Genomic DNA, 26,342 nt, shown 5'->3' with positions numbered 1-26,342 from the left:
CACAGGGCTCAGTCTTGGCAATGTTTTACATTTGAACAAACAAACGAAACAGTGTAATAACCCAATCTTTCCATTTGGGTCCTGAAGAATACCAGCTGGGATCCCTGGGATCCATGTCAACACTTCTTAGAAACTTCTTATTCTTTCTGCCCTCCACTGTTTCTCACTTCTCACAAACCATCATCTTAAAACTTCTCTTTATATTTCATTTTTCAACTTATCACTCAGTAGCTCTCCTAAAATCAAGCTCTCTGGCTCTTCTCTGTGTTTCCATTTACCTCTTCTGCTTACTTTGCTTTCCTTCTGCCTCCATTATTTTTTTCTTTCCCAAACACAGGGTCCTTATTTCTTATGCAAGTCCACCATCCCACTTTTCCTGTCTTCTCTTCCTATCATCACCTTCATCCTGCATTAAATGACCAAAAAATATATAGGCATTAGGAGTGGGGGTGGGGTGGTCAGAAATCAAAGATAGAAATCCCTTTATCTGGTATGAGGAGAGGAAATAGGAAATCTTGCAAACACATAATTCAATAGTTCTTTCGTCCTTGCCACATTAAAATCTCTATGCACACAACGTATTACATTTACTGAACAACTTATTAATGAGTTTAAATTAGCCTCGTGCAAGCTCTAGAGATGCGTTAGATACAGCTGGGTATTGGAAAAGAGCATTGGGCAGTGAGTGGAGAAATACGGGCTGCTCCTCACTAGACTTTGATGCTAACTAGCAATGGGGTCTTGCATGAGTCTTTTCCACCTTCTGAGTCTCACCCCTAGTGACCCCTGTCCAGTGCACTGCCCCACACTTGCTCTCCGGAAGAGGCTAGACCCTTGTTGGCGACATCAGGGTTTAATTTATGTCTCTACAGTGTTTATATCTCAGTACCTTGAGTTCCTTCTTCTTCTGCTTTTTTTTCAGCCTTAAAGCAAAAGTGCCTTGAGAATATCTGCAAGTCTGTGTGAGGCCTTGAAAATAACACTAGGGCATAACAATTACTTCAGGGGATACGCCATCCACCCTGGCTCTTGTCCCAAGTGGGCTACATTTGAAGAATTCACCCAGGCTCCAGCTAGATCATCAGTTAATTTAAAGTGGTTATTCTTGGAAGTAGCATTTTTTTTCCCTCTCCTGTGAATCTGTGCAAAACATTGAAGGTAGAAGTTTTCTTGTTAGAGGCCTCACAATTAATACAGTAATGCCAGACTCCTTGCCTGCTTCAAAATCATGGAAATCTAGTGTTCATGCTCAAGAAACTCCTACAATGCTTGAGGCAATCCTGACAATTTAAAAACTGGGGATGCGTGGGCACTCTAGCCTGCACAAACCAGTTCAGCCATGGAGACTCTGACACAATACCTGAGGTGACTTAAACTTGAGACTTTTGAAAGACAACAAAAGCATAAATTAATATTGAATTCATACTCTAGAGAGATTCACATATACTGATAGTTAACTAATACATGTACAACCAATCAGACTTGCCATGGTATGGGATCTATATAATCTTCCAAGCCCCCTTAAGTGGGCGATAATGAAAACTTTATCATTAGGAGGAGGTTTAGAGAGTTGTTTTTATTGACATCTTGTCTTGATTCCTCTTCTGTGTGACCCACTGGATTCAGAGGTCCCCATGAGCACCCTCAGGTTCAATGATTCATGAGTAGAACTCAGAGGTAGGGAAAACTGTTATATGCACATTTAGCATTTATTACAACAAAAGGATGCAGATGAAAAGCAGCAAATGTGAAAGGCACCTCTAGAGAGAGTCCAAGAGAGCCCAGGCACAAGCTTCCAGTGGGGTTGCACAGTCAGCATCTAATCCTCCCAGAAATAATGTTTAACAACACGTGGAGTATTGTCAGCCAGGAAAGCTCATCCAAGTTTTGGTGTCCAGGGGATGTTTGGGGGTATGGAGTAGGTATGGAGTGCCTTCATGGCCTGCATGGCTAAACTTAGTTATTCAGTCTCCAGTCCCTCTAGAGGTCAAGCTGATACTGCACGACCTAAGGCCCCACCATAAATCACATTGTTAACATAAACTATCTGTCATGGCACGAAGCCCCAGGTACAAGAGACACTCATCAGGCAGGATATTCCAAGGATTTACAGGGGATTCCCCAGGAGCTGGTCAAGGACCAGATGTTCCTCTGAAAGGTGCAGGATTTGAGCTCATCTGTGGAGTACGTCTGTGGAGTCAACTTTCTTCTGCATCCCCACATACTGATTTGCCACCTTCATTGTATCAGATTCCTTTTTCACTATATTCAGGTTTGCGGTTGCTCCAGTATCCCTATCTATGCTGAGTCTCCACGTAGAGCATGTGTGCCCTCTCCAGTGGCTCTGCACGGACCCCTTATTTCTCATTACCAGGGACAGTTTTTCTCCTGATGTGCCTGGTGCTCCTTCTCCACTCTCTTGCCTTAGGACTCTGCTGGGCCATGAGTATTTTTTTTACCCTTTTGTGACCTAGGGCTGCCCTTGGGTGAGGAAAGTCACTTTCTGTTCATCATCTAAGTAGAAAACAGTTTCTGCCATTGGAAGACCCCTGAGTTCCCTGGCACTCCTGTGAACCACAAGGTGCCTGGGGAGGTAGAACTTGGACATTGGAGAGAGGAGCAGCCAGACATTTCTCTTTCTAATCATATGCAGAAAGATTTCTTTTTATTCTCCAGAACACTTGAAAGACTCTCCAAGTTATGCAAATGTCAAGCTCATAAATGTATATTATCATGACTTTTGCAAAGATGAAGAGGATACAGCAAATTTTCTGGGAGGCAAAGGGACTTCTACCTGGATAGGAACCAAGCAAACTCATTAAGCATGGATTAATTTGATTCAACCCTTGCGTGGATATTAATTAAGGACCTTTGACAGGAGAGGGTCCTCAAGGTTCCTCAAAGAGTAACTTATCATCAAGGAAGGTGAAGAATGGATGGATGGCTTGGGCCCAAGACTGGGGCTATTCACTTGTGGGGAAACCCATGTGAACCCAGTTACCCCATACTTTGGGAATAATGACTGAGCATGACTATAATCTTTAAGAAGCTCAAATGCGGAATACCTCTGAGGCTTATGCAAGGATCTGGCCTAGCATCAAGGACAAAGGCTCAGAGGACTCCTTGGGGCCAGTTTTCTACAGTCATACCATCAGCCACAACAGCAGCAAAGGCAGAAGGAAAACAGGGCCCAGGAGTGGCTGACGACTGCCTGGAGTCCAACTGGTCTCCTGGAGTTCATAAGAGGTTTGACCCCTTCTGAGCTGAATGTGTCCTGATTTAGGGGATAGCTAGGGCAATAAGAAAGCCTCAGGGGGTGCTACTGATCTGGAACTCCTACTAATTAGTGTGTATGTATGTGGCCACCAGTGGTTAGCAGATGAGGTGAAAGAGATGGGACAGTGACTGTATCTGTTCTGATGAAGGAGATTGTGCAGTTACATGCGTAACGTCATTAAACTTCATTCTTCCAGGTAGCAAAGGTGCAGGCACATTTCTGTTTATTTCATTCATGCCCAGAAGACCAGCTAAGTTGTCAAGAGAAAGAAAGAGAGGGACAGAGAGAAGGAGGAAGGGAGAGGGAGAAGATGAGGGAGAGGGAAAGGAAGGAGGGGAAGGGAAAGAGGAGAGGGAAAGGGGGAGGAGAAGGGGGAGAGAGGAGAAAGATTGTGTTTGTTTCTTGGCCCCAGTGCATGGTTCTAAGTGTTTGTGTGTGTGTGCGTGTGGCTCCCTATTTCTGCACAGGTGCACTAGTGCTGTGGGTTTGTGTGAACGAGACATTTAGGTGCTGTCATAATTAAATCTAAAATTTTAAACTCTCATTTAGAACAGACTTTATCCTCTTATGTCTGGGTTCTTGTGAAAACTTCACTCTCACTTTATTCCACCAACAGAATGGTAAAAGGCCAAGGTTCCAGGGATATTGAAGGCCAGTGGTTTTCAATCAGGGGTGATTTGGCCCCCAGGGGACACTTGGCAATGTTTGGAGACATTTTTGGTTGTCACAACAAGGTAGGGAGTGCTACTGGCATCAGCTGAGTAGAGACCTGCGATATTGCAATGCTCGGGACAACTCCTACAAAAAAAGAATAATTTGGCCCAAATGTCAACAGTGCTAAGATTAAGATACTCTGTTGTAAGCTATGGGAAAAAATGATCCTTCTCAAAACCCCATGAAATGTCTCGAACAAGATACCTATGTAGATTGTTATGCCTTTGTATTGCTCAGGCATAATAACAATCTCAGTTATGCTCTTGAGCATAATAACAATCTCAGCTATGCTCTTGAGATGCTGAAAAGATGGATTTTGCTGCACTGAGCCATAGATGCCCACGGGCTTAGTCATTTTAGAGATGGTGGGTCTTTGGTGCTAATGAGAAAATATTACAGACAATGCATCTTCATTCCTCAAATCACATGAGATGCTGAACAATAGTTAATGATCTACAAACACAAGCCTCAATGAATGAGAGTAATTACTTATTTGAAGAAGCCCTTCAATGGGTTCTTCCATAGAGGCTCAATTGTGCCCTGATTTAATCGTTTGAGGAGTCCTGCTTCTTCAGGAGGTGGCCATAGAGTGAGCAACTCAGAGGGTTCACAGCCAGGCTAACCTGCATTCCAGAATGCTTCCATTACACGTGAGCTTCTACAATGCCTCAACCTCAACGACACCATTTTTTCTCATCTGTAAAGTGGAGCTAATTAATCCTTGCTCCTAGGATTATGAAAGCAGTAATGGAAGGGCTGCTGCAGGGATGATGAGGGCAAAATCCTATAAAACACTTGTGGTACATTACACGTACTCAATAAATGCCAGTTCTCCTTTCAAAATCAGGAAAGAAAACCCTTCACAAGGCGATATGAGGAAGTGACAAAAAGAACTAGGACTTAATGAGCCCCCATACCACACACTATATATGGCTTTCTTCAGCCTCGAAATCTTAGTAGGATTAAGCCCATTTAACAGATGTGGAAGCTAAAGCTGAGCAGTGACAAACTCAAGGTCACACTGCTACTCAGTAGCAGGGCTGGCAGAGGAACCTTGGGTGTCTGATTATAAAGCCCCACCTCACCCTACCCCACAGCTTGGGCAGAAAAGCCCTAAAGGAAAGAGGCATCAAATTCCGAGATCTGAGGCCAAGAACATATAAGAAGAATCACGCTAGAAATCCTCTTGCTAAAGAATGAACTAGACCAGACAAAGCCAGCCCTTTATCTTGCAGGAGAGCCCACATGACTTTCATCAGTCTTTCATCCCCCGAGAGTTCCCATGATGACCCTGAGACATAATCCATGGGCCTCCTAGCCTTTGAGGTGAGGTGGGGTAGAACAGGGAACCCATTGTTCTCTAATTAGAGCCTGAGGTCTCCTCTGAGGCTCAAGATGGGGCTTCTTAATATGGAGCCTTCACCTGTTCCAAGCTATAGTATTATGATGCCTCCTCCCTTCAGAGGCAGCCCACCTGCCAACATTCATGAAAGGCTTCCTTCTTGATGTGAGGAGTGGGGAGAGGCATCACATGGCTAAGGGTCTTTCCTTGGGGTATAAAGGACTCAGTCTGCACCTGTTCAAACCCTAGCATCATTCATCCAGCTGCACTCCAGTGGAGCCTTCACGGTAGGCATCTGTTATTCCTGATGGTTGGGGAGACAGAGAGCAGGGGAGGGAGGGAGGGAGGAAGACAGCAAGTAAAGGAGGGAAATGAATGGGAGAAGAGAAGAAGGGAGGGAGAAAGAGAAGGAGGGGGAGAGGGAGGGATGGAGGAAAAGAGTGAGGGAGGGAGGGAAATGGTTGGGAGATGGAAAGAGGCAGAAAGGGTAGGAGGAAGGAGGGGAGGGAAGAAAAGTAGGAGAAATTGATGAAGGAAGAAAAGGAGGGAGAAAGAGAGGGTAGAAGGGAGGGAGGGAGAGAGGGAAAGAGGGAGGAAGGGAGAGAAGAATGGAGGGGAAATGAGGAGATAAATGAATGGAGGATAAGGTGGTAGGGGATGCTCTCAGGGCTGTCTGAGACCTGGATGTTGCTCCAGGATATAGCTGAAAACCCAAATTGCTCTGAGTCGATCTGTGAAAAGATGCAATGCCAGACAGAGAGCACCTGGCAAATTTACCCGGGGGAAAAATCCACCACTTCACATTAGTGAGGATCCTACATAGCCCTGGGCAATGACCCCGCCCACGGCACCTGGTGTGGAAACACAATCAGCATTAATTATGGGCAGTCCTCACTGAGCACTGAGCAAGTGCCGGAGATGGTGTTCTACCTTTATAAGACTCATCAGATTTAACCCTCATGATTCCCTGATGAAAAAACACCATTATATGCATTTCGCTGCCCAGGAAAATGAGTTCCAGGCATCTTCAGTGCCTGGCTCAGGGCACTCGACAAGCAAAAGGCAGAGCCTGAACTCCCTGACCCCAGCCCAGGTCTGTCCGACCAGCAAGGCCTTGGGCTCAGACACTGGCTATGCAGCCATGAGACCGGCCATTGGGAGACAGCTAGGGGAGCCGGGACTCCAAACCTGGCATGCAGACCAAGGCGAGGCTTCGGGAGCCTTCTCAGGCCCACAAGGACAGCACTGACCCATGAGGCCACGACAGCCCCAGAGACTTCCTTGGGCAAATTAGGAGAAGGAGGTCTTTCCTCCAGGTAGACACAGCCCCACAGCCAAGGGCGCCTGACTTGGCCAACAGGAGGATACTGGATTTCAGAAGCAGCCCCACACCATCCCACCCACGTACCCTAATGTGCACGTACCCCAGATTCGGGTCATCCTCACTGTTGCCCAGGGCTGACCACGTGCTTCTAACTGGCACCTTCTAGCTGGCACTGACTTTCCTTCTTTGTGCGCAGCAAGGAAGCTGTCACCTGCTGTGTTTCACCACACCCTAGCAAGAAGCTGGCCACCCTAAGGGTCTTCCCAAGCAAGTACTACCGATAATTGTGACAGTTACGCAGTGAGTCATCACTGGAATGCTTAGTTTGTCTCAAAGGACCGGCCTAGCAGTTTAGGGTATTGGAGCCAGAACAAGTCAGACTGGCCCACCTGGGTCTGGTCATTGCCAGAGCGCCCCCTTCTGGGCAAGGGCCACCCTGGCAAGTGACTCACCCTCTGAGCCCAGTTTCCTGGTCTAGAAAGTGAGACGTCTTGATAGCCAAAGTCTTGGAGGGTTGTCACCAGACAGCAAGTGGGGCATGCTCAGTGGAACACCTGACACAAAGAATGACCTAATCCATGAAATGTTGTGTTTAAAGGAATAAGGTCATGAAGATTATTACTTACTTTTTAAAAAGTTGTGGTAAAATATACATAATATTGACCATGTCAGCCACTTTTAAGTGTACAGCTGAGGAGCATTAAGTGCATTCACATTGATATGCAATCACGCCACTGTCCACCTCCAGGACTTTTTCATCTTCCCCTACTGAAACTCTCCCCATTATCGAAGAACACCCAATCATACCTCCTTATAACTTATTGCAAAAATAAATTAGAGCATAGTCAAAATTATGTCTCTAATAAAGTCATTTTGGCTCATTTGCATTCAAGCAACATGTTTCAAGGAGGTAATGGAACATGACCTTCAGGCCGTCTTATCTGAGCTGCAGAACTCCCCAGGGGAATGCACCCCTGAAACATGTGTCACAAAAGAAAAACAGAGATCCACTGTGCAAAACTGATCATTCTTCTTCATTCACCAGACAGGGCCTTCCACTCTTACAGGGGATTAGGGAACAGCACAAAGGCCTTCATTGTAGCAGCTACTACTTATTGAGCCTTTGACCTCGAGCCAGATGCCATCATTGTAATTCTTAATGCTTTTGAGCAACTTCTCTATGTCAGGCGCTGTTGTATGTGCCTCACAAAGATTAACTCATTTCAGTCTTCACAACAGCCTCACAGATAGGTACTGTTATTATGATGACACTGGACTTGGAGTCAGGAGACCTGGGAAGCTGGACATTCTTGCCATGATTTGCCAGGCTCTAAACCTCAATGATCTCATCTGTAAAACAGGAGCTTGGACTGGAAGATCCCAATGCCACTCCAAGTTCAGACATGCTGGCAACCTGTCATGGTGTGATGGTCACAATAAAATACCTGACATACTGAGTGGCAGAAAGTGACTACATTGTCCAAGTTCATGTTGGACCCATTCATGTGGGTATCATTTCAATGAGGTCTCTGGGCTCCTCTGAAGTGCCTTCTGCTAACCACAAGACTTTCCAGGGCATACCACTTTCCATTTGGAGACCTCTCTTGTCTCCCCCTTAATTTTCAGCCTTGTTTCATGGCCTGAGAAGGAATCATTCAGAACTGAATTTCCACCAAACAGTGAGGGAGACTGTCTCACCTTGAAAGTTAACCAGCTTTAGGAATTTGTGTGGCTAAAAAAGGCTCTAAGCAGAGCGTTGCACCAATGAGACAGTAACCAGATTACTAGAGAATTCTTGAGCTGAGTAAGAATCTCAAAGAACTCACACTCTACCCTTTTTAAAAAAATTCATTCAACAAACATTTATTTTGCAGCCACCAGAGCTTGTGCTAGACCCTGGGATAGGTCCATAGAGTAGTGATTGTACAACCTACAATGTCTTCTCCTCTGGGACACTTTCCCTAATACCAAGCCTTGCTCACAGGCAGAATGACCCGTCACGGCCCTGGGTACATATGCAAGACCACCAGAATACGGGGCAGTCTTGGTCTCTGGGAGAACAAATTTTACAAAGTGCTCCTTCCTTCGGGTTGATGCAACACTGCAGAGGACAAGCTTCAGAGTCAAGCTCTGGCTTTTTCAGCATCTAGTTGACCCTCCTGACCAAGCGCTTTTGTGCAGTGCACAACATGTACAGCCCTACCCAGCAGCCCTGTGTGTGCCACTAGGGTGGTATGGATCAAGATGTGTTATCATTCATACTTTGTCCCAAAAACATGTTCTAAAAGCAGAATATGCACAAGACAACCAACCGTATTTACATTATTTATGGAGTTATATTCTAAGGGGGCAAATATTATTTTAAAATCCCTCTGGTCTTTTCCCTGCGCCTCCCACCCCGTCCCCCTGTTAAACATATAATGGATTGGCTAGAGTCCGTTAAGGGCTTATTGAAGTTAAATATTTGCTGATCTCAGCAGACGGCAGCTACAATTGAAAAGCAGTAGGGTTGCTGGACTCTGCCCGCTTCTCCCCTTTGCCCCCAAAGCATCCTCCGAGGAGTATCTATTGAACTCTCAGGACCTCAACAAAGTATTCGAAATACTCAAAAGCCGAGGAAGGGAAGGAAGAGGGAGATGCTGCCGGAAAAGCTTTGTTTGCTAGCATGCAGCGCCACCATGTGGTTGTCGGATTTATTTCTATGTCAAGTGATCGTTGAAAGGTTCAAAACCTACATGCCAAAGGTGCATTGGGAATGCTGGGTATATCATAAAGTACGGGCTATTTAAAATTCAATTAACAAAAGTCAAACTACAGCACTTGTTACCTTGCCTCCCTTCCGCATTAGTCTATGAGCAACTCAGGTAAGGAGTGTTTTCTCCTCACTTTGCACTCCTGGATCCTCAATCCTTTGATGCCTGACACGAGGCAGGCCTGGAAGAAATGACCATGGAATCAATCAGTAAATACAGAAGCCCACGGCTGTGTCTTCAGGGAGCTCATGGCTACATTTCCATTTTACAGATGGGTAAACTGAGTCTCAAGGAGGGAACATAATCTTCTTAGAGGCACATTGTCAGTTAGTGGCAAAACTGGGACCTACACCCTTTCAGGGCTTTCTCCTTTTACCACATGCCTTGTGGGACCAAGAAAGGACATGGGGGTCCCATGGGTTCTTTCATGGGAATTCTGAAAATGCTTCCATCCTATTCTGCTGGCTTCTCTCCCAGGAGTCCGTTCCAGTTGCTGCCTAAGCCCCATCCTTTGTTCTCCTGCTATGATTGCGTTTCTCCTCACCAGTGTGCTGATGATCCCCCATGCCGGTGAGTAATGATATCTTACACCATAGTTCCAGCTTAGCATGTAATTACTTCATTTGAATACTGTCCCTTCAACAGGCCCACCCCCACCATCTTTCCCACGTGTCTTTTAAATGTCCTTATCTTTCTATAAAATTGAGATGGTTAAACATATTCCTCTCTGTCTTCTTGCTTTATTTCTTCCCTCTTTTATTAGTTTGCAACTACCTTGTGGTGACAAAAATGACAATTATATGCTCTACGATTATAAGTGTTTACAAACATTTTTGGTACATCCCAAGAGATTTTATTCTCCAATGTTAACACCTACCTTTCAAAAAATTACAGTCATAGAAAGTTTACGTGCAATCGTATCCATTTACATGTGAATTGAACATGCTTGACCTGCAGCCCCAATTTTTTCAAGGGTAAGTGTGTGACCACCACTGAGATAAGACTGCTTGCCCAACATATTCGCCAATTCTGGGGCCAGACACTGTAGCAGGGAAGGTGTTATTGAGGCTTCTGACTCAAAGATGTGGGAGTGGTGTCTGAATCTGGGTCTTCTGAGAAACAGAAGCCCAAACTAGATCAAGTGTGCAGATTGCAGTAGAGGAAACACCTGTGAGGAAAAACATGGAGTGGCAACTGTGAAAGGTAGAGACCTTCAGAAAGTTCTGCATGTGAAGGAGATGGGCAGAGGGGAGGTGAATGTGCCCTAGACTTCAGTTGGATGTAAGCTGGCAAGGTCATCCAAGAGGAGCCGGAGGAGTCCTGTGTGCCCCAGGAGCCTTGCCCACTGTGGTATACCTACATGCCCTGGGACATTGGCTAGGAGCAGGCATGAAGGGGACGAGGCCTCTGTGCAAACCCTGCCTTGGACTTCCAAGCACAGCCGTAGGCCCTTGGTCAGTTATGCTTCCTGTAGTTGGAGCTCCGCAAGGTCCCTTCTCATGGCTGCCCCAGTAGCAATCTGAGTCAGATACAAGACAATGCTTTGTGAGTGTTGACCATGAGGAGGGTCTCTGTGCATGGTGAGGTCTCTCCAGGGGTCTCTATCCCTCCAGCAGGACGGGGAGCAGCTTCCATGTTGGCTCCCTCAACACAGCCAGGGTGACTGCTGTGCTTCCTCTACTCTCACTCGGAGCTGCCTTGTGACTTCCAAGGGCAGGCGTCAGCCAGTGGGATGGTGGCCACATTTGCATTAGGAGAGGGAGATCCCTTGGCCCTCCCACCTAAGCACATGCTCTCTTTGTCTGGGAGCTCTGCACTGAAGCTCATGCTGCAGCCCCCACATCACACCACCATGTGTTGGCTCCCATTTCCCCCTTGTCCTCTGCATGTTTGTTTCCTTCCAGATCCTCTGAGAAGGGACCTGAGGAAAAAGGTGGGTTTTGTGCAATCCTGGTTGATCTTTTCGGTAGAATACATAATACCATGAAATCCCATTCTAAAGCACCAATAGACATTATCATTCCACTATCTAAAGATGTTATATTCTAAGTTTGCTTCAAGTTTGTGAGACTAAGATTCTCTGATTCTAGCAGGCCACCACTCACTGGCCATTTGATGGTGTGGTTCAACTATTGGATGTTCTGTCCTTCATTAAACAGTTATCAATTGAACTTGTGGTTTCTGTTATATATGTATAATGTAAGTATATACATATATCAATATATTACATACATCACAGTGCTTACCTTGAAGTCCCTAGTTTAGTGGGGGAAATGGTTACATAAACAGATCATTGCAACATGGGGTGACAGGTGCAATGAGAGAAGGATGTCTGCAACATTATGCTAGCACAGGGGCAGCATCCCTGACCCAGGCCAGATTGGGGGTCAGGCAGGGATCCTTGAACTTTGAATGGAACCATAAAATGTCAGTGAGAGTCAGTAATGCGAGGGTAACAGACAAGGGGAAGGCATCCCAGGCCCCAGGGTGCAGTACAAGCAAAGGCAGGATGGCAAGAAGTAGTTTGCTGTCCAGAAAATCTAAGCTTTTCAGTATCTCCGGAGCATGAAGTTCAAGGTAGGAGATGATTCAGCAGAGGCAGCAGGGGCCAGATCAAGGAAAGCCGTACGTACCGGGTGAGAAAAAGCTTTATAGCTTCATCGAAGAGTCTCAGTTTCATTGTCTATAAGATGGTAATGACAGAATGTGCCTTGCAATACTGAGGAGAAGATCAGACAAGGTGATGCCTGCAAAGTGCAGTGTCCTGCTCCTGGAACAGGACAGGTGCTCATCACCTTCTGTGTGTAACAAGCTTACTGAATCAGAATCAATGTCATTCTGGTGAGTTTTGTCCTTACATTCCCTCTGACCATGCATCTCCCTAAGCTGCACTGTTGGACTTTGTGAGTGAACTAACTTAGTCCTCGGGGATAAAGAGTTTCACATCCTGGGTGACTATTTTAATTGCTAATAATAACGTGTGGGAGTCTATATCCTGAAAGTAAGTGTGAGTGTGGGTGAGAAAGCACACCTTATTAACATCTATAGGTAATAAGATTATCTCCCACCCTCCAGAAGAGGAACTTAATTATCAGTTGCACAAAGGAATAGAGTGCAGTAATAGTAATTGCCAAGGAACAGGCAAATTTTACTATTGCTGCTGAAGTGGGCCGCAGATATTCTTAGCTGCTGGTTATTACGCTGATTAATTTCCAAGGCAATTATGCCCAGTGAAAAATGTGCCAGAGCAAGTACATGAGCTTTGTGACAAAGGCTCAAATGGAACTGAAGTCACAAGTCTACCTCCCTGCCTGAAAGTCTACATTTTACAGGTCACAGTCCCCTCAAAGCCTGTAGTTCTCAGGCAGGAGGGAATTCCCTGTTCATGGGAACCATTCCGCAAACCTGGCAAAGGGAATACATGGCTGGCACTGGAACCTGAGAAATGCGTGGTCAGCTCCCATCCCTGCCCCTAGATGGAGCACCAGCCGTCCCACGCAGCCTCACAAACACCCAAAGCAAAGCACCCTCCTTTCACCTTCAAACCACAATCAGCCTGTTTTGTTTAGGCCACAAAACATTTTATTTTAAATTTGAGCCAAGAGTTTAAAATTGGAAGATTTTATCAAAAAATTAACATTTCAAAAAAAATTTTTGAAAAATAAAAATGGTGAGACTCCTTTCTCAAGCCCTGGTGCTGAGTCACAACTGCCTGTCTTGCTGTAACTTGGGTCTCTCTGGTTCTCCACAGTCCCCACCATTCCCTATTGCTTCCCAGCATTGGACTGCTACTTGTTTACATTATCTGCCCATCCCTGCAAAGATTTGGGTCTACAGTCCTCGGTCTTAAGTTGGACCCCATTTCCCACATGTTACCGCCAGGAGTCCATGTGTCATTTCATGTTATCTCTTGGTAAGATTTCATGTAATCTCACAATGTCCTGTGATATAAACTCACAAATAGCCCCATTCTACAGATGAGAAGACTGGAGTCAGAGAGATATAGAACTTTGCTCCTGGTAACAAAACCAAGAAGTTACTGAGCTGGAATGTGGATTCACATTTGTTGTGCTCTAAAGCCCATGCTTTTTCTTCTGTGCCATGATACACATAAATGCCAAAGCTTCAAAAAAGGAAGGTCTCATTAGCCTAGGAATAATTGTAGAAGGTGTCCTTGAGCTTGGCTAAAGAGAAGGCAGGAATTGGATAGGAGTTAGATAGGTGAGTGAAGGATGCTTCAAAAAAGGAGAACAGAGAAAATAAAGTTGGATGTAGGGACAAGTGTGAGGGCTGCAGTGAACAGCATAGCCAGAAGAGGGATAACAGTGAGAGTACTTGGCTGGGGTTCAGGAATCCCAGATAGCAGTTCCTACTCTGCCTTCAAGTTCTATCCAACAGTTTTCTCATCTCTAGAGTGGGGGCTGAATAGGATCATCTTTAGATCTCTTTAAACCCTGTTGTTTTTCCCTTCTTCAGTGTGAAAAACAAATGCAGACTGTTGAGATCTTCCATGAGCCTGGAATTATGCAGTTATATTATCATTATTATTATTATTTGAGACAGAGTTTCATTCTTGTTGCCCAGGTTGGAGTGCAATGGCGTGATCTCAGCTCACTGCGACCTCTGCCTCCTGGGCTCAAGCAATTCTCCTGCCTCAGCCTCCTGAGTAGCTGGGATTACATGCCACCACTCCCAGTTTATTTCGTATTTTTAGTAGAGATGGGGTTTTTCCATGTTGGTCAGGCTGGTCTTGAACTCCCAACCTCAGGTGATCTGCCTGCCTCGGCCTCCCAAAGTGCTGGGATTACAGTTGTGGGCACCGCGCCCGGCCTATGCAGTTATATTGTATACATTGAGTCATTTTGTGTTTGGAAGCATCTTGCCAGGCAGATACAATTGTCTCATTTTACAGAGGATCAAAGTGAGGCTCAACGAGGAAAGAACACGTGCCCGAAGTCTCACAGCCGGCATGTAGGAAAGTGAAGCCTCTAACCTGGTCTCCTGATATGTTCAGTGTCTATTTCCATCCCCTGCAGCCTCTCAGAATCCTTAAGGCAGAGGTGGTTTCAGTGAGTTTCATGAACATCCCTGGGATCTTACTTAGAGGTAGGACATGTCCCATGTCCCAGGAAGAGGCTTATGTTACTGAGAACATGAGTGACAGATTCCAAAGTTACCCACCCCTAGTGAACAAGTCTTCATGGATCGTGCCTTCCTATGACTCCACCGTCACTGTGCCTACTTAGAACCTTCCACAACTTACCCCTCTGAGGCCTTCAGGGTCCACATCATTGATATCCTCCTCCCTTTGCAGTCTTCTTTCCTGCCAGTCTGCCCTCCCCACAGCCAACTGCTTCCAGACCCTTCAGCTTTTGCTCCTGTTGACCCCTTTACCTAGAAAGCTTCTGTAATGATCCAGTGAGGTAAGGCTTATTACTTCCATTCTATCCAACAGAAAAATGAGGCTTTGAGAGTTAAGTGACTTGTTAGGGTGACACAATGGTAGAGGTAAGGTTTTAAGTCAGGCCTGTTGGACAAAAAAACCCTTATAATGCAGTCATATTTTATGTGAATTTGAATCACGTAGAGGTGAGATGGTGCAACAGAAAATGCTAATGACACATCCATTTATACAAATAGTTCAAAATAATGGAATTGGCACACGTCTTAGCAGTCCAAAGATGGCAGCTGAAGACGTTATCATCTGTGATACATTACAGCCATGTCACGTGGCCATGGCAACAGGTAATTGTTCATTAAGTGGTTTGGCTTGAGCTCAAGCTGAGAAATGCAACCTCAAACCAATAACTTGGGAATGGAAGGTGTGAAGAAGGTTATATAGCTAAAAATTATATGGAAAGGGCTGTCAGTCCTCAGGTATGTCAGGCTATTAATTGCGAGCATTTTACAAAATACTATCCATGTTCTGAGAGAACAAAAAGCTGCTTTAAAGCAGACACACTTTTACATCTTCAGAGAATGAAAGGGTGGGAGATATCATGGCTATAAGATCAACACTCCTTCCTGTTCCCTAATATCCTTCTAAACAATAACTGTTATGCATTCATACACCCTGACCTGGAGCCCTTTACTCTGCACTTATCCACTGTGAAAACATAAAGGACGCAAGTTTTGAATTGCGTGAGATCCTCGGGCAGGTAGCTAGTTGGACAGGATCTTTTTCCAGCCATGATCACTAGGCTGGGCTGCTTCCCCAAGAGCCTTGATTACTCATTAAGAAGCTGGAGATCTTAGAGAATCACAGAAGGTTTGGAGTACTGGAGTGGTAGGAGACAAACATAGGTCTGCAAGACTTGATAACATTGACACAAAAAAGTGTTGTAAAGGTAGAAGGAAATAACATCAGAAGGTATGCTACACGTGTTTAAAGGTTAAGCCAGTTATTTGTTACTATTATCATTAACAGCTTCTTATGTTCACTGTTCCCTTTCCCCTCTTCATTAACAAATGGGTTGCATTGTTGGACATTACCTTCATCGTCAACCTCATTGTTTCACCATGGAATTATCTTGGGGAGCAAATTCATCATGGAATTACCTCTGGGGACACAGACACCTTTAGCAGGTGGAAGAGCAGGCTCCCAACCCACACACCCTGTGGGTGCCTCAGCCTCAGGCCCCCTGCAGGCAGGCCCTTTGGTGAGATGGGTCATAGGGGGTTGCAGCTGCCCTCTTGTAGACTGTGCCTCAGCCATCCCTTGTGACGAAGTTGGCCAAACACTGATCCTTATTCCCTTTCCTGCTGTGCTCTGTGGCCGTGGCAGGTGCCACCTCTCTAAACCTCTGATATTTTACCTGTAAAACAGGGGGGAGTGGGGACAAAAGAGTCACCTTAAGACTTTCCAGATAAAAGGACGAGGACCCCAGTCATTCTGTCCATTCCCTTGATGATAGTTATTGACGCTGATAGAAAAACAGCTAAGGTGCAGAGTGTGGCTAAGGGTGTAGGGGGTTTTGGTAAAAGTTGCATAGAGTCATTAGAGGACAAGGGTTTTTCAGTCAGGAAAAATGGGAAAGAGGCAAAAGCAGGACTTAATACTGTGAAAATGTGCGGCATATTTGGGGGACCACGGTGGGTTAGTGCAGCTGGGACCATGACTGCCTTAGTCTCCATACTCCAACCATCCCAAATTGCTCTCAGTTCCTTCTGTGGATCCTGGGTCCTGGGCCTTTACAATGGCTTTCCATTTATGAATAAAAGCTTGCTTTAAAAGAAAAATATATTTACCCTTTTTAAAGCGAGGTGGCTTATTTAAAACAATTTTTCCCACTGACATATTTGAAAGTTTTTCTTTTCAATTCTGTCAAATTTAGCTTAGTCTGTCCATGCTGTTATAACAAAATCCCACAGACTGGGTAATTTATAAAGAACAGAATTTCACTTCTAACAGTTTTGGAGTCAGGAAAGTCTCAGATCGAGGCACCAGATGATTCAGTGTCTGGTGAGGGCCTTCTCGTTTTATCTTCACATGGCAGAAGGGATGAGTGCTATGTCCTCAAATGAAAGAAGTGCGGAAGGGCAAATGGACCTAGCTATTTCCCTCCAGCCTTTTTAGAAGGATGCTAATCTCATGTATGAATGCAAAGCCTCAAGACCTAATCACCTCCCAAAGGCCCTGATTTCTAATACCATCACCTTGAGGTTTAAGTACGAAGATATAAATTTTGGAGGAACACATACATTCAAACCATAGCAGGGTACATTGATGATAGTGGGTAATTCATAGATGACCATTTTATAATTCTAATTTTTAAATGTTTACTGTTTTACAATTTTTATAACTTATTTTTTTCTTTCTAGTCAGCACTTTACCATAGTTTCCCATTTACAAATAAAAGTTTCCTTTAAAAGTAAAAATACTTACCTTTTTAGAAGCAATGTGGCTTATTTTTTTAAAATCTCCCACTGACAGATTTAAAATAGTCTTTTCAATTATGTCAAATTTAGCTTTATATATTTTGGATCATGCTATTATGTGCATACAAACTTAGAGTCGCTGGAACTCCCAGATGAAACAAACTTTTTACAATTGGACAGTAAATAAAACTACCCTGTAATAAAACAACAAAAAAGTGAGTTGGCTTAAAATGTTGCATTAAGAAATGTTATTATGTGCATACAAATTTAGACTCACTGTAACTCCCAGATGAAACAAACTTTTTTATAATTGAAAAGTAAATCAAATTCTCCTTTAATAAAAAAAAAAGTGAGCTGACTTAAAAATACGCATTAATAAGTAATAGTAGAGGCAATATGCTAGTGACTGAAGTTTGAGGAACCTTGTGGGATGGTATATTGGTAGTGCCAGTCCTGGTACTGGTAGCAAGGACAAGCACCCACTGTTGTTATTCCTCTCACCAGTGGTGGTTTTGTCTCCACTAGGAAGGACTTGGCGAGCCTCAGTGACTCTCTCAGTTATGCGTTGTGGAAACTCCAAGGGAATGAGTTTTATCAGAAGAAAGTGTGTATGGAAGTGTTTCCTGCTGGTATCTGTGGCCAGGGATCTTGCTAAATATACAACACAGAACAATCTTGCTAAATATCTATGCACAGGACAATCCCTAGCAACAGAAAATTTCACAACCCAAAATGTCAATAATGTGAAGCTGAGAAACCTGCTCTAAGCCAAGCAAGGCCAACTCAGACACCACCTGGGGGCATCTTCCTGAACAGATTTAGTCTAACATGCTTCTGTGAAGGATGGCCCTTTGTGACTTTCAGATTGATGGGGCTTCTACACAGTGTCAGATGGACAGTGCTGACTCCATAACTCTCCACTTGACGAAGAAAGACAAAACCCTTTTGATCATTTCCAACTACTTACAAGCTTTATATTGCTGGGGAAAGAAAAATATGAGCAGGAACAAGTCTATAAGCTCTCTGAACTTTTAGAGAGCAAATCTGTGTTGAACCTGGGATTCCAACTCCCATATATTTGTCCCATTAGCCCAGGCTGCATCTTCACACCCCCAGCATGATGAAGTCTTGGCTGAAGGTGGTGGTTGTATTTGGGTACTGGTAGTACTAGGACACTATTGTTATTACACCATTAAGTAACATTTCTCAAGGCGAGGTTTCGAGACCATCAGCTTCAAAACTAGTTGGGGAGCTTGCTAAAATTGCTTCTTTCTGAGTCCCAGTCCAGACTGGCTGAATCAAACTTGAGTGAGAGCACAGAAATCAGAATGTTTACGGAGTCTGCATCCCAGGTGATTCTGATGCTGATAATCTGGGGAAAACCCTTATTCTCTATTATTATATAAACTCCTTGGGGGTTGGGGTATTTACCTCTTTCCACCAATGCTTTATGTCAAGAAAGTCCAAAACAAACCTGCAATCTAAATAAAACAGGATGCTTCATACACAAAGACGGCTTCAAGATAAGTCTCCCAACCTCTCCATCCCCAACCAGAATGCCACTGTTAAGGCTTACCAGTATAAGACATCAGGGTTACCTCAGCCATCCCCTTATTTCCTTCAGGAACTACCTCCTAAATCTAGTGCATAGCAGGCTCTAGGAAATATGCATGGAATTGAATTTATGTGAATTCCCATTGTTTGTCTGGCTGTCGCCTTCTGGCCTTAGTCCAGCAAGTGAATTGTATCAGTGTTTGTGCTTACCCTACTTTCTCTTCCTTATTTATAGGAGGCCATCCTCTGGACACTCCACATCTTCCACAGGAGCTGCCTCCAGGACTCCCAAACAATATCAGTAAGGATTCTTAGAACTTTTCTTAGGAGCAGAGTAGAAAGTTGTCTAGGATATTGGCAGAGAAAATGATCCCTTCTGAATACACCCTAGAGCCACTCACTGCTGTGGCATTTGTAAGTAAAGGGATTGAAGTGGGACTCAAAAGCATCTCCCCAACAATCTCCCCTGGTGTCTGGCCCAACCTTTTTCTCACAACTGAGACAAAGTCTAAAAATTTCTGTCAAAGACAAAGGTCAGCTGAAAAGGGAAACCAGGAGAAGGCAGGAAATGGGCTGACGTGAAGGTTATATATTAATTGTATCTTAGCTTCAGAATGAGCTCTGAGCTTCCAAGAAGGCAAGACCAAGAGGGATAAATGATATATTGCTTGCTCTGGTTGTAAAAAAGGAGGATCCATATTTGTTTCCCGGGGAAGCGAAAATTTTCTCAGCGATAGTTTATAAACACTTCTCAGGTGGGTCCCTGAAGGTGGGCATGGCTGAAGACCATAATGCATAGTGAATTCGCTGGTGATGTCAGCCCTGAATCAAGCATTCATTTCCAACCTTTCAGAGGAGTGAGTTGGGTCAACCAAATTATTCATGCGTGAGTCCATACTTGCAAAGTAATCAGTCCCATTCAGATGCAAATGAAAAGTGGCCTCCCTCCAAATGGCATAACTTCTAGAGGAAGTGCAATGCCCACCAGGAGGCCTTCTTTAATTAGACATTAAGACTCACAGGCCACACTTGGCATTTAGAAGAATCAAAGCTAAGGAACACAGCATGCCAGCAGGCCATGGCAGCCACTCCTCTTCAGCAAGAGTAGCCCTCACGGCAATCTACACAGCAGTTCTGGGGATCCCAGATAACAAACAACTCAGGTACAAGAGAATGGGACTTATGTGGAGCAGCTGTATGACCAGCCCCGGCTTAGAAGCTTCATTCTCCATAGGAATCAGTATCTCTAGTAATGACCTCGTGGGTATAATTTCTAGGACACCCAGTAGGATGACCGTTTATAAGAGTCATCACACTGAATGAGACCCAAGATGATGATTTCCTACCAGGTATTTATAGTTCACCCATAATTCCTGTCAGTCCAGATATACCTTACCACCCAGGGGTCATTTGTACCATTGTGCAATGCTACCCAGTAATGGAATTCACATTTCATCTCTATCAGGTTTCCATGGTAACCTGTGTTAGTAGAAAGCTAGCTTAGCCCAAGGTCAATTTTTTCTTTGGAGAATGAAGAAAGGTTTTATGTACACTTTACCTAGAGGGTGGACAGGGAAGTGAAAAAAAGGAAAAACCAAGACTCTCATTTGTTTTCTTTCTTACACTTAGATATCACTTTCTTCAGTGGGATGTTTAAAAATGTGGAAAGTGTGGCTGAAATTTTTGGTAAGTTAAGTCTAAAATTGCTTTTATCCACCAGAGGTCAGAGCATGTGTGGACAAATCTAAGGAAATTGCAAGGGCCTTGGTCTCAACCCTCGGAGCTCCCATGGCCTCCACAGCTACCTCCCAACAAGGAGACCCAAGTTCCGACGAGAGTAGTGGTGTCTTTTATTGCAGGGTGAGCCACTGAGCTACCATGTGCCTTCCTATTCCTTACTTCATTAGTCCTGACTCACAACTCTCCAGGAAGGGAATGGTATCCCCATTTTATAGAAAAGGAAACTCAACCGAAGGGAGTTGAGTGACTTGCCCAAGACCACCCAGCTAGAAGGGAGGAGCTCTCCTTGGAATCTAGAGCTTAGTCCTGTACATCAAAGTAGTTTTATTTTTCTTCCCTCACTAGTAAATATAAAGTTTAAGAACGTCAAAGTGTGTCAAAGATCCCATTTATCAACTGAAAATCTATTATGTGACTATCAGGACACTATGATGGTTCCTATCATCAACTACTAGAAGTACCAAAAAAAGAGACTATAATATGATTGACATGAACAAAGACACTCAGAATTACTTTTGGGTCGGGCCATGCTGGGCATAAGGCTGTGCTTAAACTGTTTGTATAACTAAGTGCAGGTGCCTTGTAAGTTTCTGAATGAAAATGCATATTTACATAAATACACACATGCATAAAGCTTAGTGTTGCTTTTTCAATCAGCATAGAATTCTGTCTTTATTTTTCTGATTAGGTCTTGTGGGTACAAAACATGGGAAAGGAAGTTTGAATGAGGTGAATAGTATGAGGTGGAACTGGTCCTCACAAACTACTCCTGATGCCCTTAAGCTCCGTCTTGTGACCCTGTGCATGTTAAATCAGTAGTGAGGGGTAACCCATGCAGCACTCAAGGATCCTCTAGTCAGAAAGGTAGAGAATGGGGAGGAGAATGCGAGATTTAGAGTTGGAAACTGTTGATATGGTTTTCTTGCCAATTTTGTTTGCTGTATACTTTAGGGCAAATCATTATCCCTGGTTGATGCCTTAGGCATGTGTTTGGCCTTCGGTTTACTACTGTGAAATGTAAAGCAAGTTTACTTACTATGAATTGGCAGTGACAGAAAACATCTGCCTTACAGGGTTAACAGGAGGCCTATGGGACAACAGACAAAACAAATGCTTTCCAATGCATTACACACTCCGCCAGGCTGAATTACTGTGCCAGTGAAAGCACCTAGTGCAGCTTCTGACACCTAAAGGATGCTCAAAAGTTGTGAATATCTGTACCACATTTCTTCCCATACTGGCTTATAGTTTTATACTGTCATCACCGTATCATTTGGGATCCATTCAGTGAACTAATAGTGACTCAAATAATAAAGATATTTGTACCACATTTTCTTTATCCAATCCGCTGTTGATGAGAACCTAGGTTGATTCCATGTCTTTGCTATTGTGAATGGTGCTGCAATGAACATACAGATGCATGTGTCTTTTTGACAGAATGAATTATTTTCCTTTGGGAAAATTCCAGTAGCGGAATTCCTGGGTCAAATAGCAGTTCTATTTTAGGTTATTTGAGAAATCTCCAAATTGCTTTTCACAGTAGCTGAACTAGTTTGCATTCCCACCAGCCAGTGTCTAAGCAATCCCTTTTCTTTGCAGCCTCGCCATCTGTTGTTTTTTGATTTTTTAATAATCACCATTTTGACTGGTGTGAGATGGTGTCTCGTTGTGGTTTGGATTTGCATTTAGCATGGAGGGAGTTTGAGGCCATTATCCTAAGTGACTTAATGCAAGAACAGAAATACAAATACCACCTATTTTCACTTATAAATGGGAGCTAAGCATTAAATACACGTGAACATAAAGACGGGAACAATAAACGCTGGGACCACTAGTCAGGGAGGGAGGGAGGCGGTCATAGGCTGAAAAAACCCCGGTTGGGTACTGCGCTTGCTGCCTGGGTGAGGGGATTGTTGGGACCCCGAGCCTCAGTATCAATTTACCCATGTGACAAACCTGCCTGTGTACCCTTTAATCTATAATAGAAGTTGATTTTTTTAAAAAAATAACAACAAGAATAAAGACATTTCATTATCTCAAGTGGTGTGAAGGCACCAATATGCGTGTGGTAGCTCAACACAGGTATCAAAGACCCAGCAGCCTCTGTCTATCTTGCTCCACTGCTACCCTGAACATATTGTTTTTTCAACTTTAGACTTGGGGCCTCCTGATTATAATGTGGTTGCTGCAGCTCCAGCTAGCACATCCTCATCCACATTCAAGGTAGAAAAAAGGTGTAGATCAAAAGGATCTTCCTACTTGCCTTTATTCGTTGCTAGAAAAGAAAAGAAATATTTCTCAGAAGACACTTAAAGACTTTCCCTTAAGGTTTTTTGGCCAAATCTGGGTCACATGCACAGCCATAGACCAATCAGTTGGTAACATGGGATTACCATGACCAGCTGAGAGTGATTATGAAATACCCTAAGGAACTTAGGTAGAAGGCTCACCTTCCTTAAGAACTTTCTAGTTTTGTCAGTAAGGAAGAAGGTTTAAATGGTTGTTAGGTAGAAAACCAGCAGGGATGATGGCTTAGTCTAAAACAGTTTTATTACAGAGTAGGTGCTTACTAGGTTGATAAGGCACCATCAGCCTGAGGTATAGGAAGTCCAGGGGACAGGGACGCCCTCCTAGTCCTAGTTCCCAGTGCTTATCAGGCCCTGCCCCCCACCCCCACAGATTGCCTGGGCCCCCACTTCACCTGGCTGCAGGCTGTCTTCACCAATTTCCCTGTGCTGATCCAGTTTGTCAATGGTATGAAGTGTGTGGCTGGTCTCTGCCCCCGAGACTTTGAAGACTATGGTTGCACCTGCAGGTTTGAGATGGAAGGGTTGCCTGTGGATGAATCTGACAGGTAAGTGAGTTCCACAGGTGAGCAAGACCAAAAAAAGTGAGCTCATGGGAGGCCTGGCTGATACCTTGGCAAGAGCACAAATACAGAAAAGCCCCTGGACTTGGGACTCAGGAGAGGGTTTAATTCCACTACCTACTAGTTGGGTGACTCATCTTTACATGGCAATGTCATCTGTGATCAGCTCTCACTCTAAAAAGTTATTAAGATCCTATGTTATGTCTGTTATGCAAAACTTCATTTTAGTGCACTGAATATTTAAAATAGACCACTGCCAGGATCCATCCAGAGACACAGAAAGATCATGAGCTGCCTGCCCTCCCTCACTCTAACCCACACTCTCACCCTGCCTCCTCCCGGCCTTCCTACAGCTGCTGCTTCCAGCACCGCAGGTGCTATGAGGAGGCCGCTGAGATGGACTGTCTCCAAGACCCCGCCAAACTTAGCACAGAGGTCAATTGTGTCAGCAAGAAGATCATATGTGGTAAGCATCTCCAGGTGTCCCAGGGGCCTGGGCCCAGAAATGACAGTCCAGGGATCCCAAGCCTGGACCAGGCTGAGGGCATTGTGATCCTCTCACATCATCGTCACCACTGGCAGCATCGTTGGCAGCACTTAGAGCCCCACGAGGGCTGGATCAATGGCATCTGTATCTTTCACAGAGTAGAGGCACAATAAATGTTTTTGAGTTGAAATATTAGCTGATCAGCAAGTTATCTGATTTACAATTTTATACTTGTACAACCCTGAGACCTTGGGAAGGGCAAATTGTTTGCTACTTACACATTGTGTAGCATTGCAGAATTATTTAACTCCTCTGACCCTCAAAAAGGGGAGGAGAAACCTACTTCAGAGATTAGTTGTGAAAATCAAATTACACAATGCTTGTGAAATGGTTAGCACAGGGAGCGACATATGTTAAGAACTCAGAGATGGACGTGGAGGTGGAAGTAGTGATACGTGAATAAGGCGTGCGGTGGTGGTTGCCAGTAAGAATCAGAAACACATAGGTTCAAATCTCAGTTCCCGCCTTATTTGCTATGTGACTCCAGGAATTTTATTTCATGTCTCTAGGCAACCCTGGCAGAGGTAGAATACGCAAAGGCATGAAGGGAAGACAGAACACAGCATGTAGGGGTTCCTATATTACAGCCATACTTTATGTGTGTTTATTATGTGCTGTAGGCTTATACACAGAAACTCTGATCTTCCTTACAACCCTATTTAGAAAGGGGCCATTGTTTGCAGCTTAAATAACTTGCCCAAAGCCACACAGCTGCAAAGGGGCAAAGCCAGGGTTTGAACCCTGATCTGACTTAACACTCAAGTCTATATAACATGGACTGGCTGGAGTATGGAGCATCAAGGAGGAATTGAGGGGAGGAGGTGGGTGTGAACCACTAGGTGGGAGGCACAGTGAACCCAGAAAACATGATTCATTCATCCACCCAACGTATATGTATTGTGTACCTACACCAATGCAAGACAATCTTCTGTGCTGGGGATAGCCTGACCTTCTGGAATGTCCTCACCATTGTCAGACACTGAAGCTATCCAAAACAAATTGTATAGTATGTTAGAGAGGGACAAGAGCTGTGGAGGAAAATGAATCAGGGGAAAGGCCTGTGGAGGGAAAGGGGGGGTTCTCTTTAAATGGGAAGGTCAAGAAAAGCCTCCTGGAGATGATGAGGGTTGAGGATGACTTAAAGAATGGGCAGGAAGCCATCCTTGCAGATATATGGGAGAAGAGCAAAGCAGACAGAGGAACAGCTCAGGGACTGGCCCTGAGGCCTGAGAGGCCTGTTGTGGTTGAGAAATAAGGGAGCAGTGAGACACAAATGGGTTGATGAGGAGGGAGTGGAAGAGGATGTGGCCTGAGAAGGAATAGGGGTCGTGGGTCAGGGGAGCAATCATGTGACGTTTCCTAGGTGACAGTGAGACTTGTAGGTTGAGGTGGGAAGACGCTGGGACGTTCTGAACAGAATAAAGGCATGGTTGGACCTGAATTTCTAAAGGATTGTTCTGACTCCTGGATAAGAGTAGATTGAGCAGCAGGGTAGAAGCTGGGGGCATAGTTAGGAGGCCACTACCATGACCAGGCACGAGACAAGAGGGCCTCAGCCCAGTGTGGTACAGTGGAGGTGTGGAGATGTGGTCAGACTCCATGTTGAAAGTGGAGCCAATAGTGCTGCCCTGGGTGCAAGTGTGAGAGAAGAGGAGTGGGTATGGACCTCGTTTGGGTCTACACCCCTAAAGAGATAAGAGCTGACATGAATGAGATGGAGATTGCAAGGGGAGTGGGATTTTTGGCAGGGGAGATGAGGAACTCAGTCTTGGAGCTTGCATTACCTCTTGGGATTCCAGCTGAGATCTTTCCAATTGGCTATGCTCTTGCTGTGTGCAGAGTCCAAGGACAACTGTGAGCACCTGCTGTGTACCTGTGATAAGGCTGCCATAGAGTGCTTGGCTCGATCCAGCCTCAACTCTTCCCTGAACCTTCTGGACACCTCCTTCTGCCTGGCTCAGACTCCAGGTAGGAAGAACCTGGCTGCATCAGCCGTGGGGCTGAGGATCTGGACAGCAGCTGGTTTGGGATCAATTATTGCTTCATGTCTCTAGATGCCAAGTCCAGCATCTTCAAACCCTCCCTCAAACCCACTGCTCTCAACAGACTTTCCAAAGTGTTTTCTTTTCAGAGACAACCATCAAGGAAGACTTGACAACACTTCTGCCCAGAGGTAAGGCCTCCCAGGGTTGGTGGCTCTTGAACCACAAGGGCCCAGATGCTGATGGGAGCCGGTGGATACACCTCCTCCACCAGGCCTGCCTCACTGGAGCTGGAGTGACTGTGACACTGGAAGTGGTCCTGCCTTCTCTGGCTAGGAGATGTGTTACTTCTGATAAACCCA

General features: G+C 44.7%; 2 protein-coding genes across 2 annotated transcripts in view, besides 4 other annotated features; both read left to right on the top strand.

Moving 5' to 3' along the window:
- Nucleotides 1–3,481, top strand: part of HHLA1 (HHLA1 neighbor of OC90) — a 49,678-nt gene extending 46,197 nt beyond the window's left edge. The window contains exon 17 of the mRNA NM_001145095.3: nt 923–3,481. Coding sequence (NP_001138567.1) covers nt 923–966 — 44 coding nt within the window. The 3' untranslated portion in view covers nt 967–3,481. The remainder of the gene's footprint in view (nt 1–922) is intronic.
- Nucleotides 3,482–5,578: 2,097 nt separating this feature from the next.
- OC90 (otoconin 90) overlaps nt 5,579–26,342 on the top strand; it is a 35,167-nt gene continuing 14,403 nt past the window's right edge. The window contains exons 1-8 of the mRNA NM_001080399.3: nt 5,579–5,620; nt 9,888–9,980; nt 19,078–19,143; nt 20,472–20,528; nt 23,262–23,436; nt 23,805–23,917; nt 25,838–25,966; nt 26,130–26,171. Coding sequence (NP_001073868.2) covers nt 9,935–9,980; nt 19,078–19,143; nt 20,472–20,528; nt 23,262–23,436; nt 23,805–23,917; nt 25,838–25,966; nt 26,130–26,171 — 628 coding nt within the window. The 5' untranslated portion in view covers nt 5,579–5,620; nt 9,888–9,934. The remainder of the gene's footprint in view (nt 5,621–9,887; nt 9,981–19,077; nt 19,144–20,471; nt 20,529–23,261; nt 23,437–23,804; nt 23,918–25,837; nt 25,967–26,129; nt 26,172–26,342) is intronic.
- Nucleotides 5,932–6,508: an enhancer, noted in NCBI's record as "NANOG-H3K27ac-H3K4me1 hESC enhancer chr8:133070700-133071276 (GRCh37/hg19 assembly coordinates)". NCBI's record gives its function as "activates a minimal SCP1, AML or CMV promoter by ChIP-STARR-seq in naive H9 embryonic stem cells {active_cell/tissue: H9 hESC(naive)}" and the evidence as "EXISTENCE:reporter gene assay evidence [ECO:0000049][PMID:30033119]".
- Nucleotides 6,509–7,086: an enhancer, noted in NCBI's record as "H3K27ac-H3K4me1 hESC enhancer chr8:133070122-133070699 (GRCh37/hg19 assembly coordinates)". NCBI's record gives its function as "activates a minimal SCP1, AML or CMV promoter by ChIP-STARR-seq in primed H9 embryonic stem cells {active_cell/tissue: H9 hESC(primed)}" and the evidence as "EXISTENCE:reporter gene assay evidence [ECO:0000049][PMID:30033119]".
- Nucleotides 10,513–11,013: an enhancer, noted in NCBI's record as "H3K27ac hESC enhancer chr8:133066195-133066695 (GRCh37/hg19 assembly coordinates)". NCBI's record gives its function as "activates a minimal SCP1, AML or CMV promoter by ChIP-STARR-seq in naive H9 embryonic stem cells {active_cell/tissue: H9 hESC(naive)}" and the evidence as "EXISTENCE:reporter gene assay evidence [ECO:0000049][PMID:30033119]".
- Nucleotides 19,538–20,089: an enhancer, noted in NCBI's record as "OCT4-NANOG hESC enhancer chr8:133057119-133057670 (GRCh37/hg19 assembly coordinates)". NCBI's record gives its function as "activates a minimal SCP1, AML or CMV promoter by ChIP-STARR-seq in naive H9 embryonic stem cells {active_cell/tissue: H9 hESC(naive)}" and the evidence as "EXISTENCE:reporter gene assay evidence [ECO:0000049][PMID:30033119]".

This window comes from Homo sapiens, chromosome 8 (assembly GCF_000001405.40).
Source record: "Homo sapiens chromosome 8, GRCh38.p14 Primary Assembly".
NCBI lineage: Eukaryota > Metazoa > Chordata > Mammalia > Primates > Hominidae > Homo > Homo sapiens.
The sequence above is the reverse complement of the archived record's forward strand: the minus strand, read 5'-3'. Positions and strand labels throughout refer to the sequence as shown.